At 62.3% G+C, this 27038-nt stretch overlaps 1 protein-coding gene and 1 long non-coding RNA gene across 7 annotated transcripts, besides 15 other annotated features; one reads left to right on the top strand and one right to left on the bottom strand.

Annotated features, from left to right (window-relative positions):
* Positions 397–21056, bottom strand: PWWP2B (PWWP domain containing 2B). Of its 6 annotated transcripts, XM_011539387.3 has the most exons (4): positions 20905–21056; positions 12270–13630; positions 8377–8494; positions 397–1195 (listed from the first exon to the last, which is right to left on the bottom strand). In XM_011539387.3, exons 1-4 carry the CDS (start codon positions 21027–21029, stop codon positions 1075–1077), a joined length of 1725 nt encoding a protein of 574 aa, XP_011537689.1. In that variant the 5' UTR covers positions 21030–21056; the 3' UTR covers positions 397–1074. The 6 variants fall into 6 exon arrangements, with proteins under 6 accessions (XP_011537689.1, NP_612508.3, NP_001092107.1 ...); NM_138499.4 differs by lacking the exon at positions 8377–8494 and having other exon boundaries at positions 11967–13630; NM_001098637.2 differs by lacking the exon at positions 8377–8494.
* Positions 3802–4469: an enhancer, noted in NCBI's record as "H3K4me1 hESC enhancer chr10:134227291-134227958 (GRCh37/hg19 assembly coordinates)". NCBI's record gives its function as "activates a minimal SCP1, AML or CMV promoter by ChIP-STARR-seq in naive H9 embryonic stem cells {active_cell/tissue: H9 hESC(naive)}" and the evidence as "EXISTENCE:reporter gene assay evidence [ECO:0000049][PMID:30033119]".
* Positions 8633–9259: an enhancer, noted in NCBI's record as "NANOG-H3K27ac-H3K4me1 hESC enhancer chr10:134222501-134223127 (GRCh37/hg19 assembly coordinates)". NCBI's record gives its function as "activates a minimal SCP1, AML or CMV promoter by ChIP-STARR-seq in naive H9 embryonic stem cells {active_cell/tissue: H9 hESC(naive)}" and the evidence as "EXISTENCE:reporter gene assay evidence [ECO:0000049][PMID:30033119]".
* Positions 9260–9887: an enhancer, noted in NCBI's record as "NANOG-H3K27ac-H3K4me1 hESC enhancer chr10:134221873-134222500 (GRCh37/hg19 assembly coordinates)". NCBI's record gives its function as "activates a minimal SCP1, AML or CMV promoter by ChIP-STARR-seq in primed H9 embryonic stem cells {active_cell/tissue: H9 hESC(primed)}" and the evidence as "EXISTENCE:reporter gene assay evidence [ECO:0000049][PMID:30033119]".
* Positions 9888–10515: an enhancer, noted in NCBI's record as "NANOG-H3K27ac-H3K4me1 hESC enhancer chr10:134221245-134221872 (GRCh37/hg19 assembly coordinates)". NCBI's record gives its function as "activates a minimal SCP1, AML or CMV promoter by ChIP-STARR-seq in primed H9 embryonic stem cells {active_cell/tissue: H9 hESC(primed)}" and the evidence as "EXISTENCE:reporter gene assay evidence [ECO:0000049][PMID:30033119]".
* Positions 12400–13027: an enhancer, noted in NCBI's record as "H3K27ac-H3K4me1 hESC enhancer chr10:134218733-134219360 (GRCh37/hg19 assembly coordinates)". NCBI's record gives its function as "activates a minimal SCP1, AML or CMV promoter by ChIP-STARR-seq in naive H9 embryonic stem cells {active_cell/tissue: H9 hESC(naive)}" and the evidence as "EXISTENCE:reporter gene assay evidence [ECO:0000049][PMID:30033119]".
* Positions 16713–17489: an enhancer, noted in NCBI's record as "H3K27ac-H3K4me1 hESC enhancer chr10:134214271-134215047 (GRCh37/hg19 assembly coordinates)". NCBI's record gives its function as "activates a minimal SCP1, AML or CMV promoter by ChIP-STARR-seq in naive H9 embryonic stem cells {active_cell/tissue: H9 hESC(naive)}" and the evidence as "EXISTENCE:reporter gene assay evidence [ECO:0000049][PMID:30033119]".
* Positions 19476–19998: an enhancer, noted in NCBI's record as "H3K4me1 hESC enhancer chr10:134211762-134212284 (GRCh37/hg19 assembly coordinates)". NCBI's record gives its function as "activates a minimal SCP1, AML or CMV promoter by ChIP-STARR-seq in naive H9 embryonic stem cells {active_cell/tissue: H9 hESC(naive)}" and the evidence as "EXISTENCE:reporter gene assay evidence [ECO:0000049][PMID:30033119]".
* Positions 19999–20521: an enhancer, noted in NCBI's record as "H3K4me1 hESC enhancer chr10:134211239-134211761 (GRCh37/hg19 assembly coordinates)". NCBI's record gives its function as "activates a minimal SCP1, AML or CMV promoter by ChIP-STARR-seq in naive H9 embryonic stem cells {active_cell/tissue: H9 hESC(naive)}" and the evidence as "EXISTENCE:reporter gene assay evidence [ECO:0000049][PMID:30033119]".
* Positions 20784–20923: a silencer, noted in NCBI's record as "silent region_2960". NCBI's record gives its function as "represses an Ori minimal core promoter by ATAC-STARR-seq in GM12878 lymphoblastoid cells {active_cell/tissue: GM12878}" and the evidence as "EXISTENCE:reporter gene assay evidence [ECO:0000049][PMID:35858748]".
* Positions 20934–21043: a silencer, noted in NCBI's record as "silent region_2959". NCBI's record gives its function as "represses an Ori minimal core promoter by ATAC-STARR-seq in GM12878 lymphoblastoid cells {active_cell/tissue: GM12878}" and the evidence as "EXISTENCE:reporter gene assay evidence [ECO:0000049][PMID:35858748]".
* Positions 21454–21883: a silencer, noted in NCBI's record as "silent region_2958". NCBI's record gives its function as "represses an Ori minimal core promoter by ATAC-STARR-seq in GM12878 lymphoblastoid cells {active_cell/tissue: GM12878}" and the evidence as "EXISTENCE:reporter gene assay evidence [ECO:0000049][PMID:35858748]".
* Positions 21700–25441, top strand: LOC124902526 (uncharacterized). Its single transcript, XR_007062342.1, has 2 exons — positions 21700–23595; positions 23926–25441. It is a non-coding gene; the product is annotated as an uncharacterized LOC124902526 (long non-coding RNA).
* Positions 21904–22283: a silencer, noted in NCBI's record as "silent region_2957". NCBI's record gives its function as "represses an Ori minimal core promoter by ATAC-STARR-seq in GM12878 lymphoblastoid cells {active_cell/tissue: GM12878}" and the evidence as "EXISTENCE:reporter gene assay evidence [ECO:0000049][PMID:35858748]".
* Positions 21904–22614: a biological region, named in NCBI's record as "H3K27ac-H3K4me1 hESC enhancer GRCh37_chr10:134209146-134209668".
* Positions 22092–22614: an enhancer, noted in NCBI's record as "H3K27ac-H3K4me1 hESC enhancer chr10:134209146-134209668 (GRCh37/hg19 assembly coordinates)". NCBI's record gives its function as "activates a minimal SCP1, AML or CMV promoter by ChIP-STARR-seq in primed H9 embryonic stem cells {active_cell/tissue: H9 hESC(primed)}" and the evidence as "EXISTENCE:reporter gene assay evidence [ECO:0000049][PMID:30033119]".
* Positions 22615–23138: an enhancer, noted in NCBI's record as "H3K27ac-H3K4me1 hESC enhancer chr10:134208622-134209145 (GRCh37/hg19 assembly coordinates)". NCBI's record gives its function as "activates a minimal SCP1, AML or CMV promoter by ChIP-STARR-seq in primed H9 embryonic stem cells {active_cell/tissue: H9 hESC(primed)}" and the evidence as "EXISTENCE:reporter gene assay evidence [ECO:0000049][PMID:30033119]".
* Positions 25442–27038: the final 1597 nt, after the last annotated feature.

Genomic DNA, 27038 nt, shown 5'->3' with positions numbered 1-27038 from the left:
AATCAAGAAACAAGGGATGAGAGGAGTCACTCCAGGAAACAAAGAACAAAGCTCCCCGCGTGCAGAGCACTGCCTCTCCAGGAAATCCCAGCGTCCACTGGAAAGCCAGCAGGGAGGCCTGGAGATGGGGACTCAGCCCACAGCCCTCCTGGGGCTCAGGGCGGTGACCAGCGTCCCCCCACCTGGAGGCAGCGAGATGCAGCCGGTGGCGGCGTCACCCCAACCCGTACGACATGGGCCCCGCCCAGCAGTGCCCAGGGGACTCAGGCCCCGTCAGCCCCGACAGGGACACACGCATGAGTGTGAACTGTGGCCGCACAAGTCACAACTTCAACTATGACATATGTTTCTCTCTCTTTTTGTTTTTAACATTTAAACAAAGAAAGAGCAGATTAATTTTTTTCTTTTCTTTCTTTATTCTTTTTGGTCTTTAAAGTGACAAAAAAGAGGAAAAGGAACACGCTCTTACAAAACAGAGCAAGTTTCTTTTCCTTGTACTGTTGAAGCCCGGTTTCCCAGGGGCCGCCCTTGGCCTCCTCCACACAGCACTGGTCACTCGTAGCAGCATCTGCAGGCCAGGTGCCAGGTGCCCAGCGGGCCCCACGCTCTGGGATGAACTTGGAGTGGGAGACGGTGGGTGGGTCCCCCAGCTCTCAAGTGCACAGAGACCCCGCACCCAAGGGCTGGGGAAGAATCCCACACGTGCAATTGGGTTTTTCTGAAGCCTGCGGGAGACCAAGCTGAGTCTGCGAGACAGCTGCCTCCAGGACACTGCGAGGCAGGGAACAGCTGCCCACACCAGCCGCTGGGCGAGGCCGGGGCGCCAGGCCTGGTTCCTCCATGGGACCCCAGCATGCGGGCAGCAGGTGAGGCCGGGGCGGCAGGCCCAGTTCCTCCATGGAACCCCAGCGCGCGAGGCAGCAGCAGCCAGCAGCCAGCAAGTCACGAGTCCCGACTGCCTCGTGAGCCAGGGCAGCCATGCGCTGAGTGGTGGGAAGAAATACACTCAGCGGGAGGAGCCGCTGGGCTCAGGGCCATCCCCTCCCTGGACACACTGCCGGTCCCCGGGGGGCCTCACACCAGGCCGACCACCGTGCCCAGTGGGCTCTGCACGCAGCCGGCCAGAAGGCTCACAGGGTCCCCGAACAGAGATCGGAAGCTCCAGGACAGCAGGTGCGCCCTCATCGTCGGTGACCTTGGGGGAAAGCAAAAAGGGGCAGAGATTTAACTCAGGGTCGAGTATGGGGGACCAGCCCCTCAAGGTCTGAGCAGCAGGTCAGGGTGCCCCGGAGGGCCTGAGGCTCACCCGGGACCTCCACCGCCCCCCAGCTCCTGCCGGCCCTCCTTCCCTCAGGGCCCACAGCCCGGCTGTGCTGGGAGAGAGTGCAGGGTCTTCCATGCTTGGGGGCTCAGACCACAGCCCTGAAGTCCCGCAGTCCACAGGCCCTACACGCAGGGCCACGGAGAAGCCAGCGGGCCTGGAGCCTTGTGGCCTCTTGGTGGGGGCTGACGACCATGCCTGTGCCGGGCTCATGGTGTGGAAGGACCCCCATACATGACTCCGGGGACCCTCGCCTCGCACTGACGGCCCCGTGGAGACCCGAGCCTGGGGAGGAGCCCCAAGCCCCCTCCACCAGGACACAGCCCCACGCATGGGGATCCCAGGGTGGGAAGGGAGGGCTAGACCCTGAGGGGAAAACCCTTTCCCAGATCTGTGCGGAGCCCCAGGTGTCAGCCCTGCTTCCATCGCCCCCCACCTGAGCCCACGCAGGCCCCGGATGGCCACCTCAGGCAAAAAGACCTGGCGGGGACAGACGATCCCGTCAGCCCCGCAACCCAGGGCCAACCCTGGGCCCTGAAGAGAGCAGCCCCCTAAATCCAACAAACAGAGAGACAGACACTGTCAGCCCCAGTTCTCCACCAGCCGGTGGGTGGAGAGCACAGGGACGGGGAAGGCAGCGGAGCCTGCAGAGCCGAGGGTGCACGGGGCCACGCCAGCCCCGCCACTCCTCCTGTCAGGACAAAGGCGCCCCATGGGCCCTGCCTGACCACAGCAGGGCAGGAGGGACCTGCCCCTGTCGCAGCCCCGCCGAGAAGTCACTGGAGGGACCTGCCCCTGTCCCGGCCCCGCGGAGAGGCCACTGCCACTTCCAGTGCTGCCCTCGTGGAAGCCCTGGGCTGCCATGGGAGAAACTGCAACCGCCCTGAGACCACCATGCCGTGAGGAAGCCCAGCGGCACGCGGGGAGGCCTGGAGGGCACCTGCAGGCGTGTGCCGTGTGAGAGTGTGAGGGTGGATGTGTGTGTGAGCATGAATGTAAGAGGGGATTCTTTCTCCTCACGCTGGGCATTCCTGAGTGACAACACTGTAAACAATTTGAAGACCAAGCACCAAGCCGGGATCAATGCTACAGAGAAGAAAGGGCCGGCAACATCTATAATCCTCTACATGGATGGGCTAAAATCATTAACATAAACACCAAGTCTTGAGTTAGCCAAACATTGTGTGTGTGTGGATGTGTGTGAGTGGATGTGTGTGTGAGTGGATGTGTGTGAGAGTGCATGTGTGTGTGGATATGTGTGTGTGAGTGTGTGAGTGCATGTGTGTGTGAGTGGGTGTGTGAGTGGATGTGTGATTGGATGTGTGTGAGTAAATGTGAGTGGGTGTGTGTGAGTGGATGTGTGTGTATGTGTGTTTGTGTGAATGTGTGTGAGAGTGCGTGTGTGTGACAGTGGATGTCTGGATGTGAGTGGATGTGTGTGAGTGGGTGTGTTTGAGTGAATGTGAGAGTGCGTGTGTGAGTGGATGTGAGTGTGAGAGTGCATGTGTGCGTGTGTAAATGAGTGTGAGTGGATGTGTGTGAGTAAATGAGTGTGAGTGACGTGTGTGACAGTGAGTGGATGTGTGTGAGTGGATATGTGTGTGGGGGGGTGTGTGTGGATGTGTGTGAGTGTGAGTGGATATGTGTGTGAGAGTGGATGTGAATGTGTGAGCGGGTGTGTGTGTGAGTGGATGTGTGTGAGTGTGAGTGGGTGTGTGTGTGAGAGTGGATGTGGATGTGTGGCAGTGAACAGGAGAGATCTCAGCCTCTTCATCTTCCATAGAAAAAGCCCTTAACTAACGTCTAAATTGAAAACTTAAGGATCAAGCAGCAGCAGCAGTACATCGTCTAGAAATACGAAGGTGAATTCTTGTCATTACATATTGCATGTGACCACTGGACTTGTAAAAATTGTACATAGTAAGATTGACACAAACACAAATTAAAGAGAAGCTGCATTTTGGACCATCTCCCATTCACGTCCCAGGGGGAGCAGGAGGCTCTCGGAGGCCCCGCTGACACAGTCCCCAGCCCAACGCCAGTTGAGACCTGCCGGGGGTACCAACAGTGACTCCTAGACAGAGCCATGCGTCAGTGCCTCCACACCACGAGGCTTCACTTTCTCAGTCCTGGAATGACTTCCTCCGACCCCGCAGATTCTGTGCGGGAAGCTGAACAGTCCCTGTGAGGAATGTTTGCGAGGATTAGAGCCGGTCACACAAACGCATTCCTACAAATACCATCTTCCATTTCTCAGAAGGAAGAGGCAGCTGTAACAAGGCAAACTGAGCCACCCACTCCACGGCTGACAGCGAGGTAGAGGCCGACCCCGGAATCGCAGCAGCTCCACCTATGCATCCTCCAGCCCCTGGGGTCCCTCCCAAACTTCTAGGGAGTCACCAGGGACTGCGTGCAAGATGGGTCAGGAGGAGGGCTGTTTGGGGGATCCGCAGAGGCCACAGCTGGTGCTGTGGCACAAGTGGGGTCCCTGCCATGCCTGGAACCTGCTTCGTCCATCCCTTCTAATGCAGCATTTTAGGATTCGAAAGAGGCTCAAATCAAAGGCAACCACACTTCCCTGCAAAGAAACACACAGCCCCAGGAGGTCATTAAAACCATCCAAGTCCTTCTCCATCAACAACAGCATGACCTTTGGAAATGTCGGTAAACATCCATCAGCCACTATCCTCATTAGAAACATGTGTAACGGGCCTTGGGAGGAGACAGCCTGGACGGGCCCTTCGTCCCGAACAGCAGCAGTGGCCTTCGCAGGAGCCTTCCCTCTCCCGGCAGCAGAGACACAGACTCCAAGGCTGGAGCAGCACTGGCCGCTCCTCACGTCTCTCCTACCTTTCTAGATGACCCTCGCTCATGGAGCTGAGCTCAGCTGCTCTGCGTCACTGAGGCCTCCAGGACATGAGGTGTTCTCAGGAACCTGGAGGCCTTGGGGCCCCACCTGCCTGGGAGCCCTCAGAGCCCCCACCGGGACACGGGGTCGGAGTCTCGTGCTCACCTACCTCTCTCCCACCCCACTGTCTCTGAGGCCCCAAGGCACCAGCACCTCCCTGCCTGGGCCACACCTTCTCCATGGTGAGAAAGCTGGTGGCTCACACCCTCCCCACAGCTTGTTGGAGAAAAGACTGGGACAGCCAGAGTCCCCCCAGGGAGTTGGGTGTGTCCCACAGCTCTGCACATCACAAGGAGGCGAGGGGCGGGGAGGAGAAGCCGGCGTGGGGCCTGCTTAGGCTGGAAGCCCGGAAGGACGATGGGGCCCTGCCCAGATGCGGCCACAGGAAGGCCGGGGAGACCAGGACGGGAGTGGACCCAGGGCTGCGGAGGTGCCACAGAATCCTAACACAGTGGGTTTTAAAAAAACGAGGAGTCTCCAAAAATAGAAAGTGAATGAAGATGCTTAAGTGTGTTCTGAGGTCATGACTTTGCCACAGAGAGAGGGATGTGACACATACCCCAAAGGGCCAGACCCCAGGACAAAAAGACGGGCAGGGCGAGCTCAGGCGTTCACTGCCACCACCCACCGGGACGCCCGCGGGCACCCTCCTTGGTGGGAGGTGCTAGGGTCCTTTTCTTCCGAAACTATCATACTGCATCAGAATAGTATTACATATATTATTTTCAGTAATATGTGACATTATGTTGTTATATTTTAAATATTTTACACACCTATATTACATGTTGATATAGATATATTAACCTTTACATCTATAAAATTGATCATGTTAACATTAAACGTCAAGATTTCCGGCATCAGACACAAAAGTGAATCCTAGCTGTGTTGACTGCAAAGGTTTAGAAACAGCAGCGGCCCGAGGGGCAGAAAGCAGGAAGCAGAGCTCCCAGGGACGTGGCTGCCTCAGGCCTGAGCCAGAAAACGCACAGTGAGCCCAGATGACGTGGCACGGCGGGGGCAAAGATGCCAGCAGGCTGCTGTGGTCACCACAGGACACTGGCGCTGGCCTCCGCCAGCTGACCCAAGATGGCACCGTCTGAGCATGGAAAGAATAGCACTTGTGTGGATCGAACCCAACTAGATATGTTAGCAAACATGTGCGCTTTCACGAGACACACACGCTCAGGAGGGACTCCTCGGCCACGCTGGAAGGAGCTGGGGAACCAGCCCCCACATCTACCCTGGCCTCCATGAGAATTCTCTGCAAGCGGGGGGTGGCCGCAAGTCTTGGTGCAGTGCCACTGAAAGCTGGTAAGGAAAGAGGCTTTTCTGCAAGAATTCCAGTGAGTAAATGAAGACCAGGGCCAGCACCTCGTAATCCCTCCTGAAAGAGCAAATCTTAAAGTGATCACCAACGGTAGGCGGAGCCCCAGGGTGAAAACCTGGGTGAACTTGATCGGGAACGGATTAGGCCAACAACCCCAAGCCCACAACCAACCCCCGGGTCTCCAGGAGAGAACAGCCTCCTGCCGGGCAGGAGCTCCCACGGCCCCTGAAGGGGTCCTGGTAAGAGAGTGAGCCCCATGGAGTGCAGGAAGTCCCACCCTCCACTCCCAATCCTCTGACATGGGGCACATGCCCTGTCCAGGGCATTGAAGCCCGGTGGGGTCAGGGGCAAGGATTTGGAGCTGAAGGTGAGACCCAGGAAGCAAGTAGGAGGTCTGGCAACAGGTCCGCATAGTATTAGGGCATCTCACCAGAGGTGGGCACAACGCTTGGCTTTGAAGGCATGGGTGAGCAGGGGCCTCCAGCAGTGTCCCCCCACACTGGGAAAGTCCCCCATGTCCCAGGCATCTGACCCCCTGAGAAGCAACTCCAAACACCCCAGCACCTGCCCGCCTGCCCCACCAACATGGCCTCAATGCCCAAGCTGCTGGCTGGGAGGAAGCGGCAAGGACCGGCTGCCCGGCTGCTGGGAGCCAGGAGGTAGGGCGGGGCCTGAGCCCCTGCAGCAGGCTCAGAATTACAGGCCTCTGTTTCCTTCTGGAACAAAATAATTACAACCTTCACGTGGGACCTGAATTCCCTGAAAGCAACGCAGGGAAGTCAGCTGAGAAACCCGTCCTCAGAAGCAGAAGAGCGTTTTTATTTAGAGTTGGAGGAAGAGAAAAGCAAGTTTTGTGCAGGAAGCTCAAGGACGCTGTTCTAAAAGGAAAACATCAATCAGAAAAGCCGAAGCCTGGAGACGGCGGCGTCGCTGCTTCTGGCCCGGAGACTCCAGTGAGCACCACACTCTCCCAAGTCCCGGCAGCGGCTCCTGCCGACTCAGCACTCCAGTGCCGGGCAGCTTCCTGATTATTATCTTTATTTCCCAGGAGAAATCAACATTATGAAGCTGAAGGTCGGAAGCGGCCCATGCTGCCCCCATGGCCTGTGCACAGCGGACCTTTCTGAAGCAGTGGGTCCCTCCCTTGCCCCACGGGCCCCTGGGCTGAAGCCCATCTCCACCCCTGCTTCCTGGGGCCTTCCCTTCTGTCGGACATGAGGCTCGGGTGGACCCTGGGCTGTGCCCGCGCTGCCCACACAACCGCTGGGGATGTGGAGTGAATGAGACCGGGTGCTCCTCGTCCTGGGAGCCTGGGAATGGCACCTTCTGCCACATCGTGTTTGCGTTGTGATTAAAGGGTTTCCAGATGAGCGGCCCCTCCCGCGCTATCTACGGGTCCCCAGATGCCACCAGGGTACTTCGAAGAGGCAGCGGCCTTGAGCCCATGGAGGCAGAGCCTGGGGCGACGTGGTCATGAGAGGGGGAAGCCTGGACCCCCAGGTCTGTGGAGGCAAGAGGGATTCTTGTCTGGAGCTGAAGGCGCACAGCCCTGCTCGCCTTGACTCAAGCTCCTGACCCCCAGAGGCGTGGGAATAAACGCCTGTGGTCTCAGAGCCCCAGTGTGTGGAGGTTTGTTACAGCAGCTACAGGAAACTCACAGAAGACAAGGACGACCCCAGGAACACTGACCGTCCAGTGGCGCAGAAACCCCGTGCTCCCAACTGCTGACGGAGGCTGTGCTGGGTACGCCCCCAAAAGTCCCCTGCCAGGGCAGGAGGGGAAAGGGTTGGGCCCCTGGGGCCACAGGAGGCTGGACCCCTCCAGCCTGCACTGTCTGGAAGCTGTGAAATCTCCCCCTTGCCCAAGAGGCCGGGACACCAGGAGAGCATTGAGTCCCCACTTCAGGGAGGTGCCCAGCTTCCAGTCCGCACGTCGGTGGAGCACGGCCTGCCCTGGCCACGACAGGGAAGCACAGGAGGTGCCTGTGCAGGACCAAGTGCCCCGTCGGCCCTCACAGCTCCCAGGACCAGGTGCCCCGTTGGCCCTCACGGCTCCCAGGACCAGGTGTCCCCATTGGCCCTCATGGCTCCCAAAACACCAGGCAGCCCGCCGCCCCTCTGGGCACGCCCCCCTCCCCTGCAGTGGTGCTGAGGTGCAGGACGGGCAAGGTCCCGAGCCCCTCAGGTCCTCCCCACACGGCTGGCCAGTGCCACCCACTCTCCGCCACCCTCCTTCCTGCTCCCGCACAGTGCACACATCCAGTCACCTGTCATCTCCACCTGCCTCTGCTGCTCCAAAGCCTCTGCCTCAAGCAGCCAGTCTGTGGAGCTCCCCGCCAAGCATTGTCCTGGCCCAGGTCCCCCCCGATGAATACGGATCCTTGCCCCCAGCCCTCTGCCTGACCCGCCTCTGAGCTTTCCCCTGAGATGCCTCCAGCCAGGCCTCAGGCACCTCCCGAGAACTGGAGCCACCCCTGAGGATGCGGGGCACAGACCGTGGCTCCCCTAGTTCCAGGAGCGACACCTGCACACCGCCCAGCCTCCCCGTCCCCCGTCACTCTCCCTGTCCTCACAGCTGGAGGTCACTGCTTTTATTTGTAAAGCTATCAGATTTTTTTAAAGTTTCATTTTATTTTTAACTGACAAATAATAACAAGACCATCTCACTCCTCTGTCTGTAATTCTCCAACAGCACCCAGAGTCTGTGCCTTGGCCCACCGGGCCCCCTGACCACCTCCGCAACCCCTGGAACATGCCCTGCCCTCCTCCTGCCTAGAACACTTGCCCCCACCCTCACCCCATCAGCTCCTGATTAGCTCACCATTCAGATCCTGGCTCCTGCCACCTCCTCCAGGAAGCCTTCCCGGATCCCAGTCCAGGCCAGGTTTCTCGCTGGATGCTCTGCTTCAAGCCCCTCTTCCCTTCCTTCTCAGCAGTTCCTGTGTGTGATTATGCACTAATTTGGGAACTGGTGATTCACAGCCCTCCCCATTTGGCCCCCTTCTAGCCTGGGCCCAGTGGAGTGCTTGGCCCTCAGTAGAGGTGTGGGTGGGTGGGTGGGTGGGTGGGTGGTGAGGGAGAGACCAGGGGAGCAGAGAGAGGACCTTGAGCCTGGACAGGGGCAGGACCCCAGCCCGAGGCCCTGGGGCTCACCCTGGGGAGGAGCTGCCTTCCCCTCTCAGGCTCGGTGGGCCCAGGCGGTGGTGGGGGTGTGGGTGGCATTGCCTTCTCTGGGTCCCCATTCCCAGCTGCAGGACAAGCCTGGCCAGGCAGCTCCTGCTGGGCCCCTGACCCTGCATGTCCGGTGCCTGCACCTGAAGCAGGAGGCTGCTCCCAGGCACAGTAACCCCAGAGCCTGGTCTCCACCACCTGCCCCCGCCCCGGACCTCAGCTCTAATCCCATGGGGTCCCTGTGGGTGTAGGAGAAGTCCCAGGGAACGGCCTCTCCTGCCAGCCTGAGAGGGCACAGTGGTCACCTCCAAGGGCAGCGGCCACAGGCCATTCACAGGCCCTGGAGCCGGCCGTGACCACCGGGGTGGAGTGCGGCTCACTCAGAGGCGGGACCTGTTGTTACCCTGGGAGCGGTGAACAAACAGGCTCAGAGGTGTTGGCTCCCTGAGACCGCAACAGCAGGTGACCGGCTGGGACAAGGCCCAACGGCCTCTATTCCTGCACAGGAGGCCAGCCCAGCCTCGGCGCACCTCCATCAGGACCTCACACGGAGGGGTGCCCAAGTGTGTCACAGCCATGCGTCCTGGCGCGGCCCCTGCTGAGGCCGATGTGCCCGTCCCTTGTGCCAGCCAGGCTGCCTCTTGGCACTGCCGGCCACAGGCCCAATGCCCTGGCACCCTGTGGTCTGTGGGGCATCCGCCTACCCCTGAGCAGGGCCTCCAGCCCCGCAGCAAGCTGAGAGAGAGTGAGGGGTCTCTCATGGGTAGATGCTGGGCTCAGTGTCCCTGCAACGGAGCCGATCTCGTGGTGCCTGCGGTGACTGCTCCTTGACAAGTGCCTCAGGCAGCAGACACCCACAAACCTCAGGAAGCTTCTGACACCGCCCAGCCATCCCCGTCCTCATCCTCGGGCAGCTGCAGGAGCGGCTGGGGCCAGGCCAGGGTGGCCGGTGGGCGGGAGCTGGGAGGACGACCTTCCCCGGAAGGCCTCCCTGCCCGAGCTCCAGCCCCCACACCAGCCTCCTCCTCCCGCCCCTCCCTCGGGCATGGCCAGCAGCGCCCCACACCTCACTCAGCCTCTGCTCAGAGAGGCGCCTTCACGATGGTGGTGGCGGGTCCCCCTTCCCAGGAAAGGCAGGTACCCCCGCATTTCCCCTACAAAGAGCAGACCAGAGGTGCGCTGCTGACACTTCAAAGCAAACGTGTCCCTCAAGGACCACCAACCCCACAGAGGGCGGGAGATCCCAGGCCCCACGAGACACCAGCTCTGATCACACTGAGCACTTGGTCTTTAGCCCTCAGGAAATAAGACCAAAAAGCCAACCAGGCACACACCACTCTGCGCTTTGGTGCTGAAAGGATCCGGCACCCCCACTCCCAGAGCAGGGGGCTGGTCCCGGCGCAGGCCCCGTGTGCAGGCACTGCCCCCCGTGGAGGCAGGCAAACCCGTCTGGTGAGATTCTTCCTCCACTTCCGGATAAACACAGCCGGCCCTGAGCCTGCAAGACTGTGTCCTCCCGTCCTCCCTCCCGGCTGGGCACTCCCTGCCAGCCAAGGCCTCAGGCCTCACTTGGAGACGTCCTGCGTGGGGGGATGTCATGCCTCGCAAATGCCTGAGTCCAGAACTCGGGGAGGGCCCCCCAGGACAGCAGACGGGAGTCCTCTGACCCTCCTCCTACCCCTCAGAAGATGGTGCCCTGGCTTGAGACACTCCCCAGACTCAAGCTGAGAGACGGCACCCACACCCACTCGCCAACAAGGCACCTGCCCCACGCCTGCCCCAAGGCCCCAGAACTGATCAGAAAAGGGCCTGGTTCCTGGGGCGGGGGGAGCAGCCAGGTTTGTGCCTGGCCTCAGGAGAGCAAGGCAGATGCAGCCGGGTGGCTGGAGGGAGGGGGTGAGGCCAGGCCAGAGCCTGGGCAGCCAGGCAGCCTGGGGACCCTGGGGACCCTGGCTCAACCACAGTGGTCTCTCATCACTGCTTCCGCCGGAACCCCAATACGCAGGGTGCAGCAGTGGAGGGGCACCAGGCGCTCCAGTCCCCGCCCCCAACAAAGGCCCGAGGACGGTCACCTGGGAAACTCTAAGGCCTCTGGGCAGGTGGCCAGGGAAGACAAGGTCACCAGACGTCACCAAGGCCTAGGCGGAGCCCTGCCCCTGCCCTCTGCGTACAGCCCCTGGCCCTGGAATCTCTGCATCCATGGGGTGGTTAGGCCATGGAGCCAGGAAGAAGAGCACAGAGGGCCACCAGCTGCCCCCACCCAGAAAGGACTGCTCCCTGGCCTGCCTTCTCCTGCTGGGAAGACAAGAGGGGCATCTAGGAGGTGCTGAGAAGGCCTCTGGAGCTGGGAGAGTGGCCTTCAGGAGCTCAGGGCAGAAAACAGCCCCTCGGCAGGCTCCGGATGCCCCACGTGGTGATTACAGGGGCATGGGTGGTGCCCCCAGCCCCACAAGGTGACACCCCCACACCTCCACACAGCGTAGTGCCCCCCAGGCACAGAGAATCCACACAAGGCCTGGCTGGAGATTCTAGAAAGTGCTCGTAGTAGAGGCCGACAGTGAGACGCCGTCCCCGGGAACAGGCCCCCACACCATGTCCCAGGTCCCGGGCGCCTGGCCACGCACACAGCCTGCTGACGACGGAGTGCGCACTGACCCAGGAGGAAGATTTGGGGGGTCACAGGGGGCAGGGCTGGGCCAGTCTGGGGAGTTGGGGTGGGGGCTTCATCTGAGGGTGGGAAGCTCACCTCGCCCTCCCTCCTTTAATGTCCTGGGATGGCCTATCCGCGTGCAGGAGGAGGGAGATGCCCGCTCTGATCTTTGGAAAGAGCAGTGAGAGTTTGTTCCCTGAGTGAGTAACGCAAGACAGGGCCTCAGCCTGGGCTCTCCCCTCCCCAGGATCCGTCAAACCACATCCCTGACTCCAAACAACGACTGAGAGCATGAGAAGCTCCCTTCCGGCCTTTGAAAAATGGCTGCCAAACACAAACTCGCTGTGTGCTTCCAACAAGCACCAGCGGTGGCTGGCCTCCTTGCAGTGCGCCTCTTGTGTGAATCAGAAGCGCAGATGGCATCACCAGTGAGGGCAACCATTTTCCAGACGGCTGGGGCCCCAAGCAAGCCAGCTGAGGGGCACAGGCGGCGGCTCCCTGGGCCTCAGGGCCCGGAGCAGAGGCATGGCCTGGACACAGGTGTGAGCTTGGGCCGCTGGGGGGAAGGAGGCTGCCGCTGGCACACTCACCTGGTCAGGGAACCAGTTACGTTTCAAACTGGGTTAAGAGCTCCCTGATTTCCGGGGCCACGTGTCTTGCGGCATTTGCAGCCTCGGTTATAGCTTTCCGATACATCCCCTTCTTCTTACGATTAAATCTCAGTTTGAAAAATTCAGAGAAAGGGGAGAGTTTTGAAATAGACAAGAACGACGTAGTCGGAGAACCAAACCACGAGACCTTCGCTTCTCGCCAAGACGGCTCTCCGTCCTCCTTCTGGCCGAGACTGATGTCAAGAACACGCGCCGGCCACCAAGGAAAACCATGGATCTTACCCCAGACGATGTCCCCCACGGCCACAGTCCTGCCGTCCTCCGTGATGCACTCCGACACGCTCTGTGTGTGCAGCCTGACCGTCAGGGGCGGCACCGTTTGGCGAGCCTCTCTGGACACCGAGGGCGCTGACGCGCCGTGGCCAGGCGAGAGGTCACCCGTGTCTGCCGGCGTCCCTTCCGAGCCGGACGATCTGGCCTCGTCCAGGCTGTCGCTGCTGCACGCCGACTCACTGGCACAGTCCGCTCTCCCCTCAGGGCAGCTGACGAGAAAAGCCAAGCCCTCGCGTCCCTGTGGACCCTGGGGACAGCTCTTGAAGTCATCGTCCTCACCCGAACTTCCAGAAGACAAGTCCGCCAGCCCACCGGCAGGGCCGTCCGCACAGGGCGCCGGCGAGCTGTCCCGCAGGTACCCGTTCAGCTCCCCCACCAGCTCGGCCCGGTACACGGGCTCGTGCTCGCTGTCCCCCAGACGGTGGGGCTTCAGGCGGATCTTAGGGGGCGGCAGGTCCGCGCCGGCCGGCACAGGCCGTGTCAGTTTCAACTTGGGGATGGAGGCCGAGGGCGCGCAGGACGGCCGGTCCCGGGACTCTCTGTCCAGCACCTCGGGGTCCTGGCTGCCGTCGTCCTGCGGGGCCTGCTGGGGACGGAAGGGCTCCAGAGAGCCGTGCACGCGGGAGGGGATCTTGACCACCTCTCCCTTGCCCTGGGGCGTGCTGTAGGAGATCTTGATGACCGGGCTCCGCGGGACCTGCTCTGCCGGGGCCCTGTCCTCCTCGCGCCTCTCCCTCTTGCTCCTCCTGGCGGTGGCCGCAGCCGTGGGCTCGCCGTTCTCCGGCTCCTCCGGCTTGCGGAGCTCCCTGTCCGGGCCGCTGCCCAGCCTCCTGCGGGCCCTGGGCGCGGCTGGGGGTCCGGGGCTGGCCTCCGGGGGGCTCAGCGTGCTCTTGCACTTCTCACAGAGCACCTGGCGCGGCCGCAGGCGGATGGTGCTGAGGATGAGGCGCCCCGGGTCGCGGTTGCGGGACAGACGCCGCCGCGTGCGCTTGATGGTCCTGGGCGGCGGCTGGGGCACCCACAGCTTGTACGTGTCCCGGAGCCACAGCGGGTGAGGGAAGGGGGCGCCTTCGAAGTAGGGAGGGTACGGGGGCAGGCTTCCGGCGGGCAGCGGCGGCACGAGGGGCGGGGGTGGCTCGGGGCGGGTGGTCTCGGGGGGCTGAACCCCGCGGGCAGGAGGGGGGGAGCTGGACCCCAGCTGCATCACCTCTGCATCCCCCTCCTCGGGAGCCCGGCCATGGCTGTCGTTGACAGGGGACTCATCGACCTGGGGCAGCGGAGCCAACGGGGGTAGGCCAAAGAGGCCGGACCTGGCAATGGAGAGAGAGAAACCACAGTGAGAAGGGACCCTGGCACATCTGCCACCCGCACCAGCCCCCAGAGCCAAGGCCCCCGACCCATGCTCCGGCAGGTCTGGGCAGCGAGCCATGCCCTGAGTCCAGGGCTGTATTTCAGGACGGTAAACCAATGCCCATGCTCCCTACGTATGTCCTGGGTTGGACACAGCAGGGCAAGACATGTGCCTTCCAAAGCCAAGCAGCATATGGCCGGGAGGTCAGCTGCTTCCCTGGCCAGAGACAGGCCCAGAGGCTCCGAATCTCAGTCCATGGCCCCAGGGGACATGTGGACCCCAGCAGGAATGCTCCCAGGAGGCCTGACCTGGCCCGGGGAGGGGTCTGGCTGCTTGTGACCCATGGCCCTGGACCCCAAAACTCAGGCTCCTTGCTCACAGGCTCAGCCGTTCCCTCCTCTCCGAGGGGCTGGGGGACTCAGGGAAGACAACCCCTAGGGCCAGGCAACGCTTCAACCCCCAAAGCAAGCCCCTGGAGAAAGCTCCCTGCAGGAGCCCAGAAGAATGCCGTCCTGCAGGAGCCCTGGAGAATGCCGTCCTGCAGGAGCCCTGGAGAATGCCGTCCTGCAGGAGCCCTGGAGAATGCCGTCCTACGGGAGCAGGGTTCCAGGTGCATGACGTGTGTCTGGGGTGGGGCTGCGCGTGGCCCGGGGCTGAGCCCTCTGGAGATGGCCCAGATGCTTTCAGTGGCCCCGAGAGAGCCCTCATCCCCATCTGCCCACCTGGCACCCTCAGGTCCTGCCCTGCTGGGCCACACGAGCTGCAGGGGAAGGGGCACAGGGGGCAGGAGCAGCCACTGCTGGGGGAGCCACAATTAAGGCCCCGCGGCTGCCACAGCCGGGACACCAATCCCAGTTGTAAAGGCCTTCTCATCCTGGGACTCGCTGGGCCGGGCAGCCTGCGCTTAACGGCTAGTGCCCAGCACTGTGCGTGGCTTTGGGGGATTTGTCCTCAGAAGCAGCTCACGTCCTAGAGTGCAGGCCACCTCGCTGCACGGGCACCTGGCTGCCCCATCATTCTCGAGGCCCAAGTGCAGCCAATGTCCCCGAGCCCTGTCCCCTGTTGGCCTCATCCCGCCCAACAAGCTGCTGTGAGCGCGTCAGGAAAACAGTTCTGCGAACGCTGATGTTACCACAGACCATGGAAAACGGGTCCACAGAATCCACGTTTCCACAGGGAACACGCGTAACTGGTAACAAACCAGATGCAATTTTCAAGACCGCTCTAGCTAAACCAGAGAAAAAAGAGAGGGAGATGGAGAGAAAGAGACAGAAAAGCAACACAGCATTGCGACTCGCCGGGGAGGGCACAGCAGTGGCCTTGGGGCCTGTGAGGGGATGAACACGGGGCGGGGGGTTCTGCTCTGTGGTGGGTGGGGGTGGTCAGAGTGAGCGCCACCCGCCCCATTCTCCTCTGGCCAGGCACCGCTGTGGGGCCTGCAGCCACGGGCTAGCAACGGCAGGAGCATCTCTGGAGTGCGGGCTGGGCCCCCTGTGCAAATGGTCTCACTGAGCCCTGCAGCAGCCGTGGGAAGCGGGCTGCCTTCAACTCTGATGGGCTAAGACTTTCGCGAGAAAGGGAGGCCAGTCCCGGGCGGTGCCCTCACCAGTCCCAGCCAGGTGCTGGCGCCAGGACCGAGGAGCACAGACCCCATGCACCCCGGGGGCCAGCGGGCCACACCTGGCCGCTCCAGCGTTTGTGAAGAAAGTTTTACTAGCACACAGCACAGCCCCCAGGTTCCTTTATACGCTGTCCGTGAGCCAGGCCACAGTGGGGCCACCCAAGCCGGCGACTTTCACTTACAGAAAAGGTTTGCCAGAGTTAAGCTGTGGAAGATGAGCCTTTGCCCAAAACCAGCCCCCACCCCCGCCCAGGGTTGCAGGCTGATGTCTCCAAGTCCCCTGGCCTCATAGCCAGAACTGGCCTCCGTACCCAAATCAGCAGCCAGTTCATCATCTTCCATGAGCACCTTGTGAGCATTTAATACAGGCTGAGCATTCTGAGAACCAACTTCGTGTGCTCACACAGAAGCACGTCCATGTGCATGCACACTCCTCACGCTGGTGCACACGCCCGCTGGTGCACGCAGGCACCCTGAGCTTCTGGGCCAGCATGCTTACGGCCCCTTGCTGTTGGGGGAGCCAGGAACCCCTCCATAGGACCCAATGAAAGGGCCTCAAATGAGGGCAAATGAGGGGATGTTGGCAAGGAGAAGGCCTCCCATGGAGCAGAAGCATCCCTGCCAGAGGACGGTGGCTACGACAGCCAGAGGGAGGGGGCAACCCCACTAGGGCTGGGGAACATGGCACCCTGACCACTCGGGGTTGTGGACTGGGCTGAAGGTGCCAGGACCCTGAGGAGGCCCCACAAACGGAGCCAGCCCCATCCCTTGCCCCAGGATCTTCAGCCACAGGCCAGGGGTTAGTCCCTTCCCAGGCAGATCAAATGGGTGGGGGGCAGCCTGAGCTTTGCCATCCCCTTTGGGACCCTGAGTCACACCTGCATCAGTGCCCAGGGACTGGACAAGCCAGCCCTACAAAAACGGCCGGTGACCCTGGCACGTCAGGCAGCCATACTTCCTTCCTGGAGCTGCCGCCCTGCCCAGGCCGCACCCCAGCGCACTGGTGGGTAAACAGGGTGGGAACAGAACAGGGTGGGAACAGCTCACTCCGCAGGCTGGGACGGGTAGGGGAACCCAGCCCTAGGGATCTTGCAAAGCCAACAGCAGAGCCCCCAGGCTGCTGGGACCTCGGCTCCTGCCCTCCTTGAGCAACCCCATGAGATACAGATCACAGTCTTCCCATTTCGCAGATTGGCCAGTGAGGCCGAGCGAGACCAGGGAACGTGCCTCCAGGCTGAGTGGGTGGGTACCCACGGGGGTCTCCAGGCACGGGGACGGCGCTGGCACAGGGAGAACCTCAGTGGCTTATCCTGGACCCTGGGACGTGAAGAGTGGTCCTTCTGGAAGTGCACAGGTGCAGTGTAGTTCCCCACACACCCACCCCCTAGGGACAGGGGCCCCACTGGCCTGGCTGTGACCCACAGGTAACACCGAGCCTTGGCAGGTGGGAAGATGGAGTGGCCCTGGAGCTAGATGGGCCTGCTGGGTCCAGGCTGCCCTTTTAGAGCCATCCGCTGGGCCTTGCCTGTGGGGAAGGGAAGGACATGTGGGGGCCCCATGGGGGCCCTGCCTGTGGGGAAGAGGACATGCGAGGGGCCCCTTGAAATAAGCCTCACGCGACATCCTTGCGAGCTCAGGGACAGAACAAATAACCTTTGCTTTGAGAAAGGGCTAGGGAAACTGAGGCAGGGGTGAGACGCCCTGGAGTCTCTAATTGCAGAACGGACCAGACCCCAAAGCAAAAAGTACGCCAGTGCCACTCCCAATGGCACAGCAGTGTCCTGGCAAGGACACGGGGGCCCTGGAGACCAGGCCTGAGGTCCTCAGCCAGACACAAGTGGCCGAGCCTTAACTCAGCCGTGGCGGCCCTGGGGCCTCGCCTGGATGTCAGGCTCAGCCAAACTCCCAGAAAGGCCCAGGCCTGAGGTCTGCCCGGGACCATGGCCGGGAGGAGCACAGCCCTGGCTGCCTGCCCAAGCCCCCTGCACTCGCTGGCAGCGCCTCCCCACGGCTTCCCCATTCTACAGACCAGGGCCATGAGATGGCAGATGCCCACATGGCAGCCCCCTGCCTGGCCTCCCGGGCCCACATTCACCCTGGACCTTCCTTCCTCACTCTCTGATCAGGAAAGGACACCCTGTTGTGGCCTAAAGAGGTAAAGAAAATGCGGCTCCTGGAACAGGAACAGGCAGCCTCAGCGCAGCGCAGGACAGCCTGAGTCTGGCACCCAAGGCCTCGGCTATGCTCCAGTGTCAGTCTAGAAAGCGTCTGCAGTCTCCCTGTAGCCCTGCAGACACCCACAGCAGGACAGCATGCGGGAAAAGGGCGGGCAGGTCAGGCCTGCTGGGGGCAGTGGGGTCTCCCCAGGCCAACTCTCTCAGGGGTTAGGGAAAAGCAGGCTGGCAGGAGAAGCCACAGGCTAGACACCAGGGGAGCGCCTCCTCCAAGGCCCCACAAGGGGAGCCTGCCTCACCCTGTGGGCACCTGCCCCAGGATCTCCAGGGGAGAGCAGGTGGGGCCAGGTGGCCACGGCCGGCCCCCTGTGTCCTGGACTCAAGGGTTTATGAGCCGTCAGCATAGTCCCTCTCTAAGCCCTGTGGGGCTCCCCAAGTAGCACAAGGCCAGGCCCCCACCCCACACCCTCCTTACCCACTCACTCAGATGCCATCCCCTCGAGACGCTCCGAAGACCAGCCATGCTAGCCAGGCCTCCTGGTGCCCTGGCCTTCAATGCACTAGGCCTGTGTCCCTCTCACTCCCCAAGGGCAGGGGGCACAGCCTATCACCACTGCAGCCCTGGCCCAGGTGCTCCCCCGCTTGGTTGTTGAGTGAATCATCCCAAGAGCAGCCCCCAGCAGTGCAGCCTCCACCTGGACAGGTGAGCCCAGGACAGAGCTCAGGGTGCCCTTCTGCCGGGACAGGCAGTGTCTGGGGTTCTCAGTGTGGGCCAGGGTGTCTGGCCTAGGGTGTGGTTCACAGAGGACAGTCCCCTGACCTTTCCAGCAGTCTGTGTCTGGAACCATAGGCAACCCACAACTGGGGGAGGCCGATAAATACCAGCTCAGAGATGGAGCCAGGAGGCTCTGGTGGGGCAGGCCAGCCCTTCCGCACTCGGAGCCTCGTCTGTCCTCAGGCCACCCCTCAGCCAGGGCCACCCCACCCAAGATCCTCAACCAGAAGCATGTCCCCAAATCACCCACAAAACAACGCAGGTCAGGACAAGGCTTGTGTCATCGATGCTCTGGAAGGAACCACCACCACATTGGCCCAGACTGGGGGAAGATCACTGGAGGCCGCCTGCTCCGGGCTCAGCCCACTTCCTGGCACACAGTAGGTGTGCAGTGAACTCACCCAGATGTACACGCAGGCTGACACTCAAGAGAATCTTGCTTCAGATCACATGGCCCTTGTGGCACAAGCCAGGCAATTCCACCCACCTGCCAAGCCCCTCTCCCCTCTGCTTTGCAAGCAAGGGAGAGAATGCCATCTCCCAAACCGGCCGACAACAAACGCTGGCTGCTGGGCCCACCTCAGCCCTGCATCCCGGCGCCTGTGTGAGCGGGGCCGCCATTCCCGTGGGATTGCTCTGAACAGGTGCCTGGCTGCCCGCCGCCTGCGCTCAACAGCGCCGGTTGTGCTGGGACCCACAGGTTCCCTGAGGTGGGCGGACACCTGTCATAGGGCTCCCAGCAGCTCTTCCCTGTGAGTCAGCACCCACACTTGGGGACTGGGCCTCCACTGTCACATGCAGGGGATAAGGGCGGGCACCACGCCCTGATGAGAAACTGGCACCTGGGGAAGGCAGGTCAGCACCCTGCGGTCCGAGGCAGGGCTGGAAACAGGAGCCCTGGGACTCGGAATACAAGGGCAGAGAACCGGCTGGAGACTCAGGCTCAGGGGAGATGAGGGAGGGGGCGGGGGTCCTTCCAGGACAAGCCTCAGGACTGGGGCTGGGGGAGAGGAGAACAGCCGGACAGACTCAGGCACAGGGGAGATGAGGGAGGGGGCAGGGGTCCTTCCAGGACAAGCCTCAGGACTGGGGGTCGGGGAGCCTGCTCTACCTTCAGATTCCCCACAAGGACAAGGGGGCCAGCCCAAGGCAGCAAGGTTGGCTGCTAAGTGGCTGTGCCCGCAGAGGCCCAGCGCCCGGCTCCGTGGGCGGCTCTGGTTACAGCTGAACGTGGCAGGCAGGGTTGACACCCATGCATCCTACAGCTGCCAGTTCCCACGCCGGGGGTCCCATCGGGCCTGGTTTTTTCCATGAAGGGGAGGCGGTGGTGTAGATTTGCAAACCAGGTTAGCCATGGGCCTCAGGGAGGAGAGCCCGAGGCCACTGCAGATATTCTCAGCCTCCCTTGTCCCGAGTCAAGGAACCTGGGAAATGGGGCAACCCACTGCCGCTCGTGCCCCTCTTCAGGGAGGAAAGGCCAGGCAAGGTGGTGCAGGTCTGGCAGGGGTGCGGCCCTGCTGACCAGGACCAAGCCCAACCCTGCCCGCCAGAGGAAGCTGAGGCCGATGGTGGAGGGGATGGCAGCTCCCAGGTGGCGATTCTCACCCCCCGAGTGTCCCTCCATCCTGCCCGTGCACTCCCAGCGGTAGCCCACACGGAGCGGGCAGGAACCACACGGGAGCCATATGTTAAATCACGTGACTTGTGGATAAATGGCTTCTGGCACATCTAATGAAGAGATAACGTCTGCGAAATAATTGTGGAAGGAACACGGTCCTCTCTGCTAATTCATGTCACCAGGCAAAAATCTGGGCTCCACGGATGGAAAAAGTTGGGCCTTTACAAGAGGAGCCTTTCCCTGCTCCCAGTTTCAAAAGAAAGCCCTGCAGGAGCGCAGCGAGGCCACAGCCTGATTCATGCCTAATCATTGATCTGGCAGCGACAGCTCCCTGCCATGTGACGCGGTGTCCAGGAGGCTCATCTGCACCGCATGGGTCCCTGCAGCCCGTGCACAGGTGCCTCTCAGGAGGAACCGCCCCGCCCTGCCCTGCGCCCCCCACCCAGGAAGCCAGGGCTCCCGGGGGATGTGCCCACGGCTCCCACAGCTTGTACCTCTTCACGCCCCCATGACTCAGGGCTCCCTGGCCTGAAACTGTTCTTAAATCGCACAGCTGGGCGCAACTGCTCTCCCCGAATCCAAACCTCAGCCGCGGAGTCACTCCCAGCAGCCAGGGGCCCGTGGCCTTCGACAGGGCACCCCCACCTGTGAGGAACTGCCAGGGCAAGGCCACGGCGCATCTGACCCTCCCCTGCTTTAACGACAATTCTGCCAACAGTCGAATTCAACAGTGGCTCTGAACAAAGAAAAGTGCATTAATTATGGCAGATGTGTGGAGTTCCGGGACCCCGGCCCCGCGCCCCCCGCCCCGGCCCGCCCCGGCCCGGCGCCCGCCCCGAAAAGTCGCGACGACTTTGAGAACCACTTTTGCCCCCCCGAGTGGCGGCCGCGCTCGCGCGCCCCGAAACTCAGGCTCGGCAGAAACCGAAAGCGGGCGCCGGGGCCACGCCACCCCCAACCCGGAGGCGGGTCCCGGGTCTCCGGGCGGCGGAGGCGGGTGTCGCGTGGGGACCCCGGGGGTGTCCCGGCCCGCGCCCCCGCTCACTTTTTCGTGCAGTCCAGCAGGATCCCCGCGAAGCTCCGCTCGCCGCAGCTCACCGTGACCACCAGCGCGCCGTTGACGACCTGCTCCACCCGCACCGGCAGCCGGCAGCCGGCGCGCGGCTCCATGCTCCCGCCGCGTCCCAGGCCGCCCCCGCCCCGCCGCCGCCGCCGCCGCCGCCGCCGCCGCCGGGTCAGCCCCGCGCGTGACGCCGCCCCGCGGCCGCCTGACGTCACAAAGCTCCGCTGGGGCGGCCGCCACAGCCGAGCCGAGCCGGGCCGGGGGCGCGCGGCCGCGGGCTCCGCTCCCGGGGACCCCGCCCGCCGCCGCCGCGTCCCGGGAGAAGCCGCGCCCGCCCGCAGAGGTCGGCCGGACGCGCGGTGCGGACCCCCGGGCTGGAGAGGGGGCTGCGCCCGGGCTCGCGGCCCACGCTGGCCGGGAGTGTCCCCTGGCTCGGGAGGACCCGAGAGCCACGAGCCCGGGGGCGGCGGGGGGGACACCCGCCGCGGCCGGAGCCCCGGGACCCCATCCCCCCGCTCCCCTGCCTGGGGCCGGTCCCGGGCCCCCCTCCCCCTCCGGGCCCAGCCCTGCGCCCTCCCTCCCTCCCCGGTGGCCCGGATCCTCCCGCCTGGGGTCGGCCGCCCGCGTGTCCCGGCAGCGCCCCGCGCTGGGCTCTGGTGGCCCCGGGCACTGCGGCGAGGAAGTCCCGGGCGGCGCGCGCAGGAAGCCGGGGCAGGCGGAGGGGACGCGGGGCGCCCGGGGGCAGCGGCCTAGTGTCGCCCTCGCCGCGTGGGGGGCGGGACACTGGGTCGCCCCACTGGGCTCGGCGCCTCTCGGGGCGACAAGCGGGCGCGCGCCCGGCTCAGGGCCACCCTGCGCGCCTGGGGGTGGCCGGCACCGGGGCCCGGGGGGTTAACTCCCTCCGGAGGTCTCGGGCGTGTCTCTTCGGGTTGCCGGGCCCAGGGGCCAGGCGCGCCTCCGCCAGTTTACAAAGGAAACAGCCTCCTTCCCCCGCGGCAGGGGCTCCCCGACCCGCGGGCGAGGAGTGGGAGGTGACGGCGCCGGACCCCCTTCCCCCAGGCGCCCGGCTCCCGCGCCTTCAGGCGTCAAAGCCCCCGACTTCCCCGAGCACCAGCACGTCCGCACCCGGCTCAGAACGCAGGGGCCCGGCCTGCTGCGGTGACCTTGGCCCCGGGCCGGGCTTCTGAGCCGGACTTGCAGCGCCTGACGAGGCCTGGAGGCGGGGCGGGGGACCGCGTAGTTGTCCTGGCGACCCAGCGCCGCCGGGCAGGGCTCCTCCCAGCCTGGGAATTGAGGACCACCGCCCCTGGTGCCACTGGGGACCGTCGGGTCGCTGGCGCCTGTCGACCTCGCCCTCCGGCGGCCGCGCGGCAGTGGGAGCCTCAGAGAGGAGCCAGGGCGGAGTGAGGGAGCCCGCGGGGCCTGGGACACCTGACCGTCCGGCTAGAACAGGGGTAGGGACCGAGGCCGAATGAGCCAGAGTTCTGGCCGGGGACAGTCCCAGAGGAGGCCTGGAAGCCCAGTGAGTGTCTGTCCTCCTCTGTGTGGCCTGGGGCTCCCGCCAACACTAAGCCCTTCCTGGGGCCTCAGGCACCTCAAGGCGCCCCGTTCTCCAGGGTCAGCCAGCCCCTGCCCACTGGTTGCCAGGCTTGCAGTGGAGCCTGCCTGCTGTCCTGCCCACAGGCCTCTGCAGCTGCCCCCTCCAGGGGTGGGGCTGACTTTGGAGGAAAAATGCCAGGCAGCAGGGACCCCCTCGCCACCCTGCTCCAGGTTGGGCTGAGCGGCCATCCTGAGGCTGCCCACTTGCTTGGCTCTTCTTCCTGCCTGCTGGAGAGGCCTGCTGGGCACTGCCCTTTCTGAGCATTGGGGACTGCCAGGGTGAATCAGCATTCAGGCTGGTGGGGCCAGCATGGGGTGGGGCTAATGCACAGGGGGCTGTATGTGGGTGGAGGGATCCAGAAAGAGTGTCCAGGGGAGCACCAGCATTCACCAGGGCCCCACCAGGTGGGCAAAAGCAAGGGCTTCCGAGGTGGGGGTGGGGGTGGGCAGGATCCTCTGCAAGGTGTCTGCGTGCGCCTGGGGCTCCTGGTGACTTCCCACGCCAGCAGGAGGAACAGTTTGGGGTGTGCTGAGGGACCCACCTGTGGACTTGCTGGGCTTTGAGAGGAACCAAGGCTGGGTGGCGGCGGGCAGGACAGGGGAAGAGGGTTCCGGGGCACAGAGGGCCAGACAGATGCACCCAGCAGCTGGCAGCTCTGGCTGGAGAGGGGAAGAGGGCAGTGAGAAGCACGGCTGGCCCATGGTACCTCCTGCCCCTCTGCCCTGCCCGCCTTCCCTCTGCCCTGCCCACCTTCCCTCTGCCCTGCCCGCCTTCCCTCTGCCTCTTCCCCTCTGGCCCGTGCTATTTACTGTGTATTGTTAAGTGAACTTGGAAGCCGTTTTTAAAACCTGCTCTCCACTAGGTAAGGTATAAAAAAGACCATCTGCAGACAGGGAGACCATTTTTGCAACTTAAACGGTGGCTGTTCAGGGCCTCCCCCAGCAGCCCTGCCCCCGCACCTGCTCCCACTTGCTTCCCGCCCCGCTCCAACCTGCTTGTTGAAGAAGAGGCCATGGGAGTTTCCAGAGTCCCCGATTAAAGTGCAGGTGTCCTTGGGGACCTCATCAGCCCAGGTATCCCCTCCTGTCTGACCCTGTATTCGGGGGTTGGGAGGCTGTCCTAGGCTTGCTGCTCTGAGCATCTCCCCAGAGGCCACCCTGCTCATGCCAGTCAGTGAGGTCTGCCCAGTTCTGGGAAGCACCCTGGGTACTGGGGCTGGTGCTGCCCACAGTGAGAGGACCCTGAGCTGCCTGGCTGGGCTGGAGAGGAGCCTCGGGAGTACGCCCCTGGCTGGGGTGAAAAGGCCAAGAGTGGGAAGAGACACCTCCGAGGTCTTTAGACTTTGTCTTCAAGAGACTTGATCCAAACAAAAGGTCCTAAAGCCTTTGGTCCTCTGGCTGTAGGCACAGCCGCAGCAAGGCCTAGGACATGCCCAGCTCGGGACGGCCCAGCCAGTCAGATGGGGTAAGCCAAGGGGACAGGAGAGTGTCCGGAACTTCCACCGGGGCTGGGGGTGGGTGACCAGCAGTTGGCAGGATGGGTGGCCTGAAGGGGTACAGTTGAGGGAGGGACAGGTGGCTGGAGGAGGAAGCAGGGGCTGGCCTCTATGTCCCCTGAGACAGCAGGGGAGGAAGGCAGGAACCCCGCAGGCCACCTCCCCTCAGGGTCTGCCTCCCCTGCGGTCCTTGGAGGAACTCCAGGATTTGTCCTCCCTGGCAGCCTGGCTCACTTGCATCACCAGCTCCATGCCCGCCCCTCGTCTTTCAGGGTCGCTCCCCCAGGTCCGAGCTTAGAGGGCCCTCCTGACTGCTGGACCTGGACCTGCCCAGCACTGTCCTACCGCACTACATCATCACTGAGACTTGGGAAGGGCAGTGGTGAGCAGGTTCTCAGCCTTTGTTGGTCTCTTCCACGAGATGAGGCTTACAGCGGCCTCCCCATGACTGAGGTGCAGCCACAGCCTGGCCTGTGTCCAGCCTGCTCCAGAATCACCTGGTATCCCCCCAACCCCCAACACACCTGGGCTTGCTTGATCTTACTGGAGCTCACCAGGGCCTGGCTGTGTGCAAGTCTCATGCAGCATAGTGAGGTGCTCCTGAGATGCATCGAAGGTGTCTGGTCAAGATGGAGGCCTCGCAGGACACAGCCATGAGTCAGAGACCACAGATTTCTCCAGAGCTGGTGCCCAGAGGCCAAAGGCAGGGATGGGCCTTGAGGCTGGGACCCAGGTCGCCTCATGGCAAGCCTTTTGCCCACAGCAGCTGTGGAAGGCAGGAGACAGGATAAAGCCTTTAATACAGAGGGCCTGCTCTGATTTCAGTAAGCAACCATTCATCACTCAAGAAGCCTGGACAGACTAGGGAGCAGGAGCACGCCAGGCCTCCTCCAAGGTGTCTGGCAGGGAGGCCGGCCTGGGGAACACACTCCTTGTCCCTTGTCGTGTCGTCTGAGGCAGGGGCTCAAGGCAATCTTTGCAGATGCTGAGCCAGGAACCCTCGACCTTCTAGCAGGCCACAGATCCTTTGGGCAGTGTTTGTTTTGTTCTGCTCCAGTCTGGAAGCCCTTGGAGGGCAGTGTGGGTCTACAAGGCCAACTTTGTCTTGTCTGTTCTGGAGCTGTCTCCCTGCCCCTTGGGTTATCAGGATGATATAGGGTCACATCCCCTGAGGCAGTATCTCAAAGGACCGGCTGGGAACAGAACCTGCCAAGACTCCACTCGAGGTGGTGCAGAGAGCTGGGCAGGCACATAAACTCTGAGGCCAAACTGCTAGAGTCCTGCCATGTGACCTTGGGGAGACTGCCACCTCCCTTGTGCCTCAGTGTCCTCATCTGTAAAGTGGGAAATATGATGGTACCTACCGTGTAGCCTCGTACTGAATATTAAATGAGTTAATATTAAATGAGATACTTAGTACAGCACAAGCCCCAGTAAAGCTTCCATGAGTTAGCTGCCATCACCATCATCAACACTTTTGTCATTATCAGCATCACCATCACCACCACAGTCTCCACCATCACCGCTACAGCCATCATCACCATGAGCATTACCATCCCACCTCCCCCATCACTACCACCACCATCACCATCACCATTGTCACCACCGTCACCATCATCACCATCACCATCACCATCATCACCACCATCACCATCATCACCATCACCATCATCACCATTACCACCACCCCCATCACCACTACCATCACCATCACCATTATCACATCACCATCATCACCATCACCATTATCACCACCACCACCTCCACCATCACCATCACCACTACTGCCATCATCATCATGATCACCATCCCACCTCCCCCATCACTACTACCACCATCACCATCACCATCATGACCACCATGACTATCATCAGTATCACCCCACCACCATCACTATCACCATCACCATTGCAACCACCATCACACCACCATCACCATTATCACTGTCACTGCCACCACCATCTCCACTATCATCACCATCACACCACCACCACCATCCCCACCATTGTCACCATCACCACCATGACTATCACCACCACCATCACCACCATCACACCTACCATCACCACTACTATCAGCATCATCACCACCACCGCCATCACCATATCACCATCACCATTATCACCAGCAAAATGATCACCACCACCACCACTCTCATGATACTTGTATAGCTGGGCCCTCAGTGGGATCCTCGGGTACACCTGAGGCCTTGTGCTATGCTCAGGGCCAGGTAGGAGATGCAAACCCTGTGCCCACATGCTCTGTGTGCAATCTGCCCCTGCTGGTATCTGGCTGAGGCCCGTGATGCGGAAGAAGCCAGGCAGGTGAGTGGCTCCCAGGTAGCTGCTCTTGAAGCCTCCTCTGACCCCATAACCTGTGCTCTCCCACATCCTTGGCAGGGGAGCCGAGGCAGCCCCCAGGGCCAGGCTGGCTCTCAGCAGTGGCTGTGAATCCCTTCCAGACTCAGGTTCGAGAGGCCCTGTGGCTGCAGCATCTGGGCAAAGATATTTCTAGGGTGGGGCATCCCATCCCCAGACAACTGCTTTGGTTTCCAAACAGTGGATGTGTGACCCTTCTGTTTCTGAAGGAGCTGGCTGTTTCTCAGCAAGACCCGTGCTGTTCTCCATGACCAGAGAACCAATCCACAACACCCGAACCCAGCCCAGGGCCCCTGGGATCACAGGCAACATAGCAGCCTCGCTTAGCAGGTTGTAAGCTCTCTCCTCCGAAGGCCATTCCCAGGATCTAAAGTCCTCATTTCCTGGCTTGAAGTTAACCCTTGAGGTCCTAATGTTGGAGAGAGGAAAAGCCTCCCCCATGTTGATCCAAACGGCTTGGCCAGACATGGATCTCTCTCAGAAGAACCCACGACCAAGGACGCTGGCACGTTCCTGGTGAGGTTCTCCACGAAGAGGTGCAGTGTGAAGTGGCCTGTCACAGAATAAGAGTCCTAAAGCTTACGTTCCCATAAAAGCCCCTGGCCTGGGAAGCAAACACAGACCGGGAGGCCCCTGCCTGGCC

Source organism: Homo sapiens, chromosome 10 (assembly GCF_000001405.40).
Source record: "Homo sapiens chromosome 10, GRCh38.p14 Primary Assembly".
Taxonomy (NCBI): Eukaryota; Metazoa; Chordata; class Mammalia; order Primates; family Hominidae; genus Homo; species Homo sapiens.
Note: the sequence above shows the minus strand (reverse complement) of the source record. Positions and strands in the feature narration are given on the sequence as shown.

Excerpts from the sequence above, each read along its gene's own strand:
- PWWP2B (NM_138499.4), bottom strand. The coding sequence starts at position 21,029 with ATGGAGCCGCGCGCCGGCTGCCGGCTGCCGGTGCGGGTGGAGCAGGTC. Across the intron at positions 13,631-20,904 it reads CTGCTGGACTGCACGAAAAA|GTCCGGCCTCTTTGGCCTAC; the intron begins GTGAGCGGGGGC and ends CTCCATTGCCAG.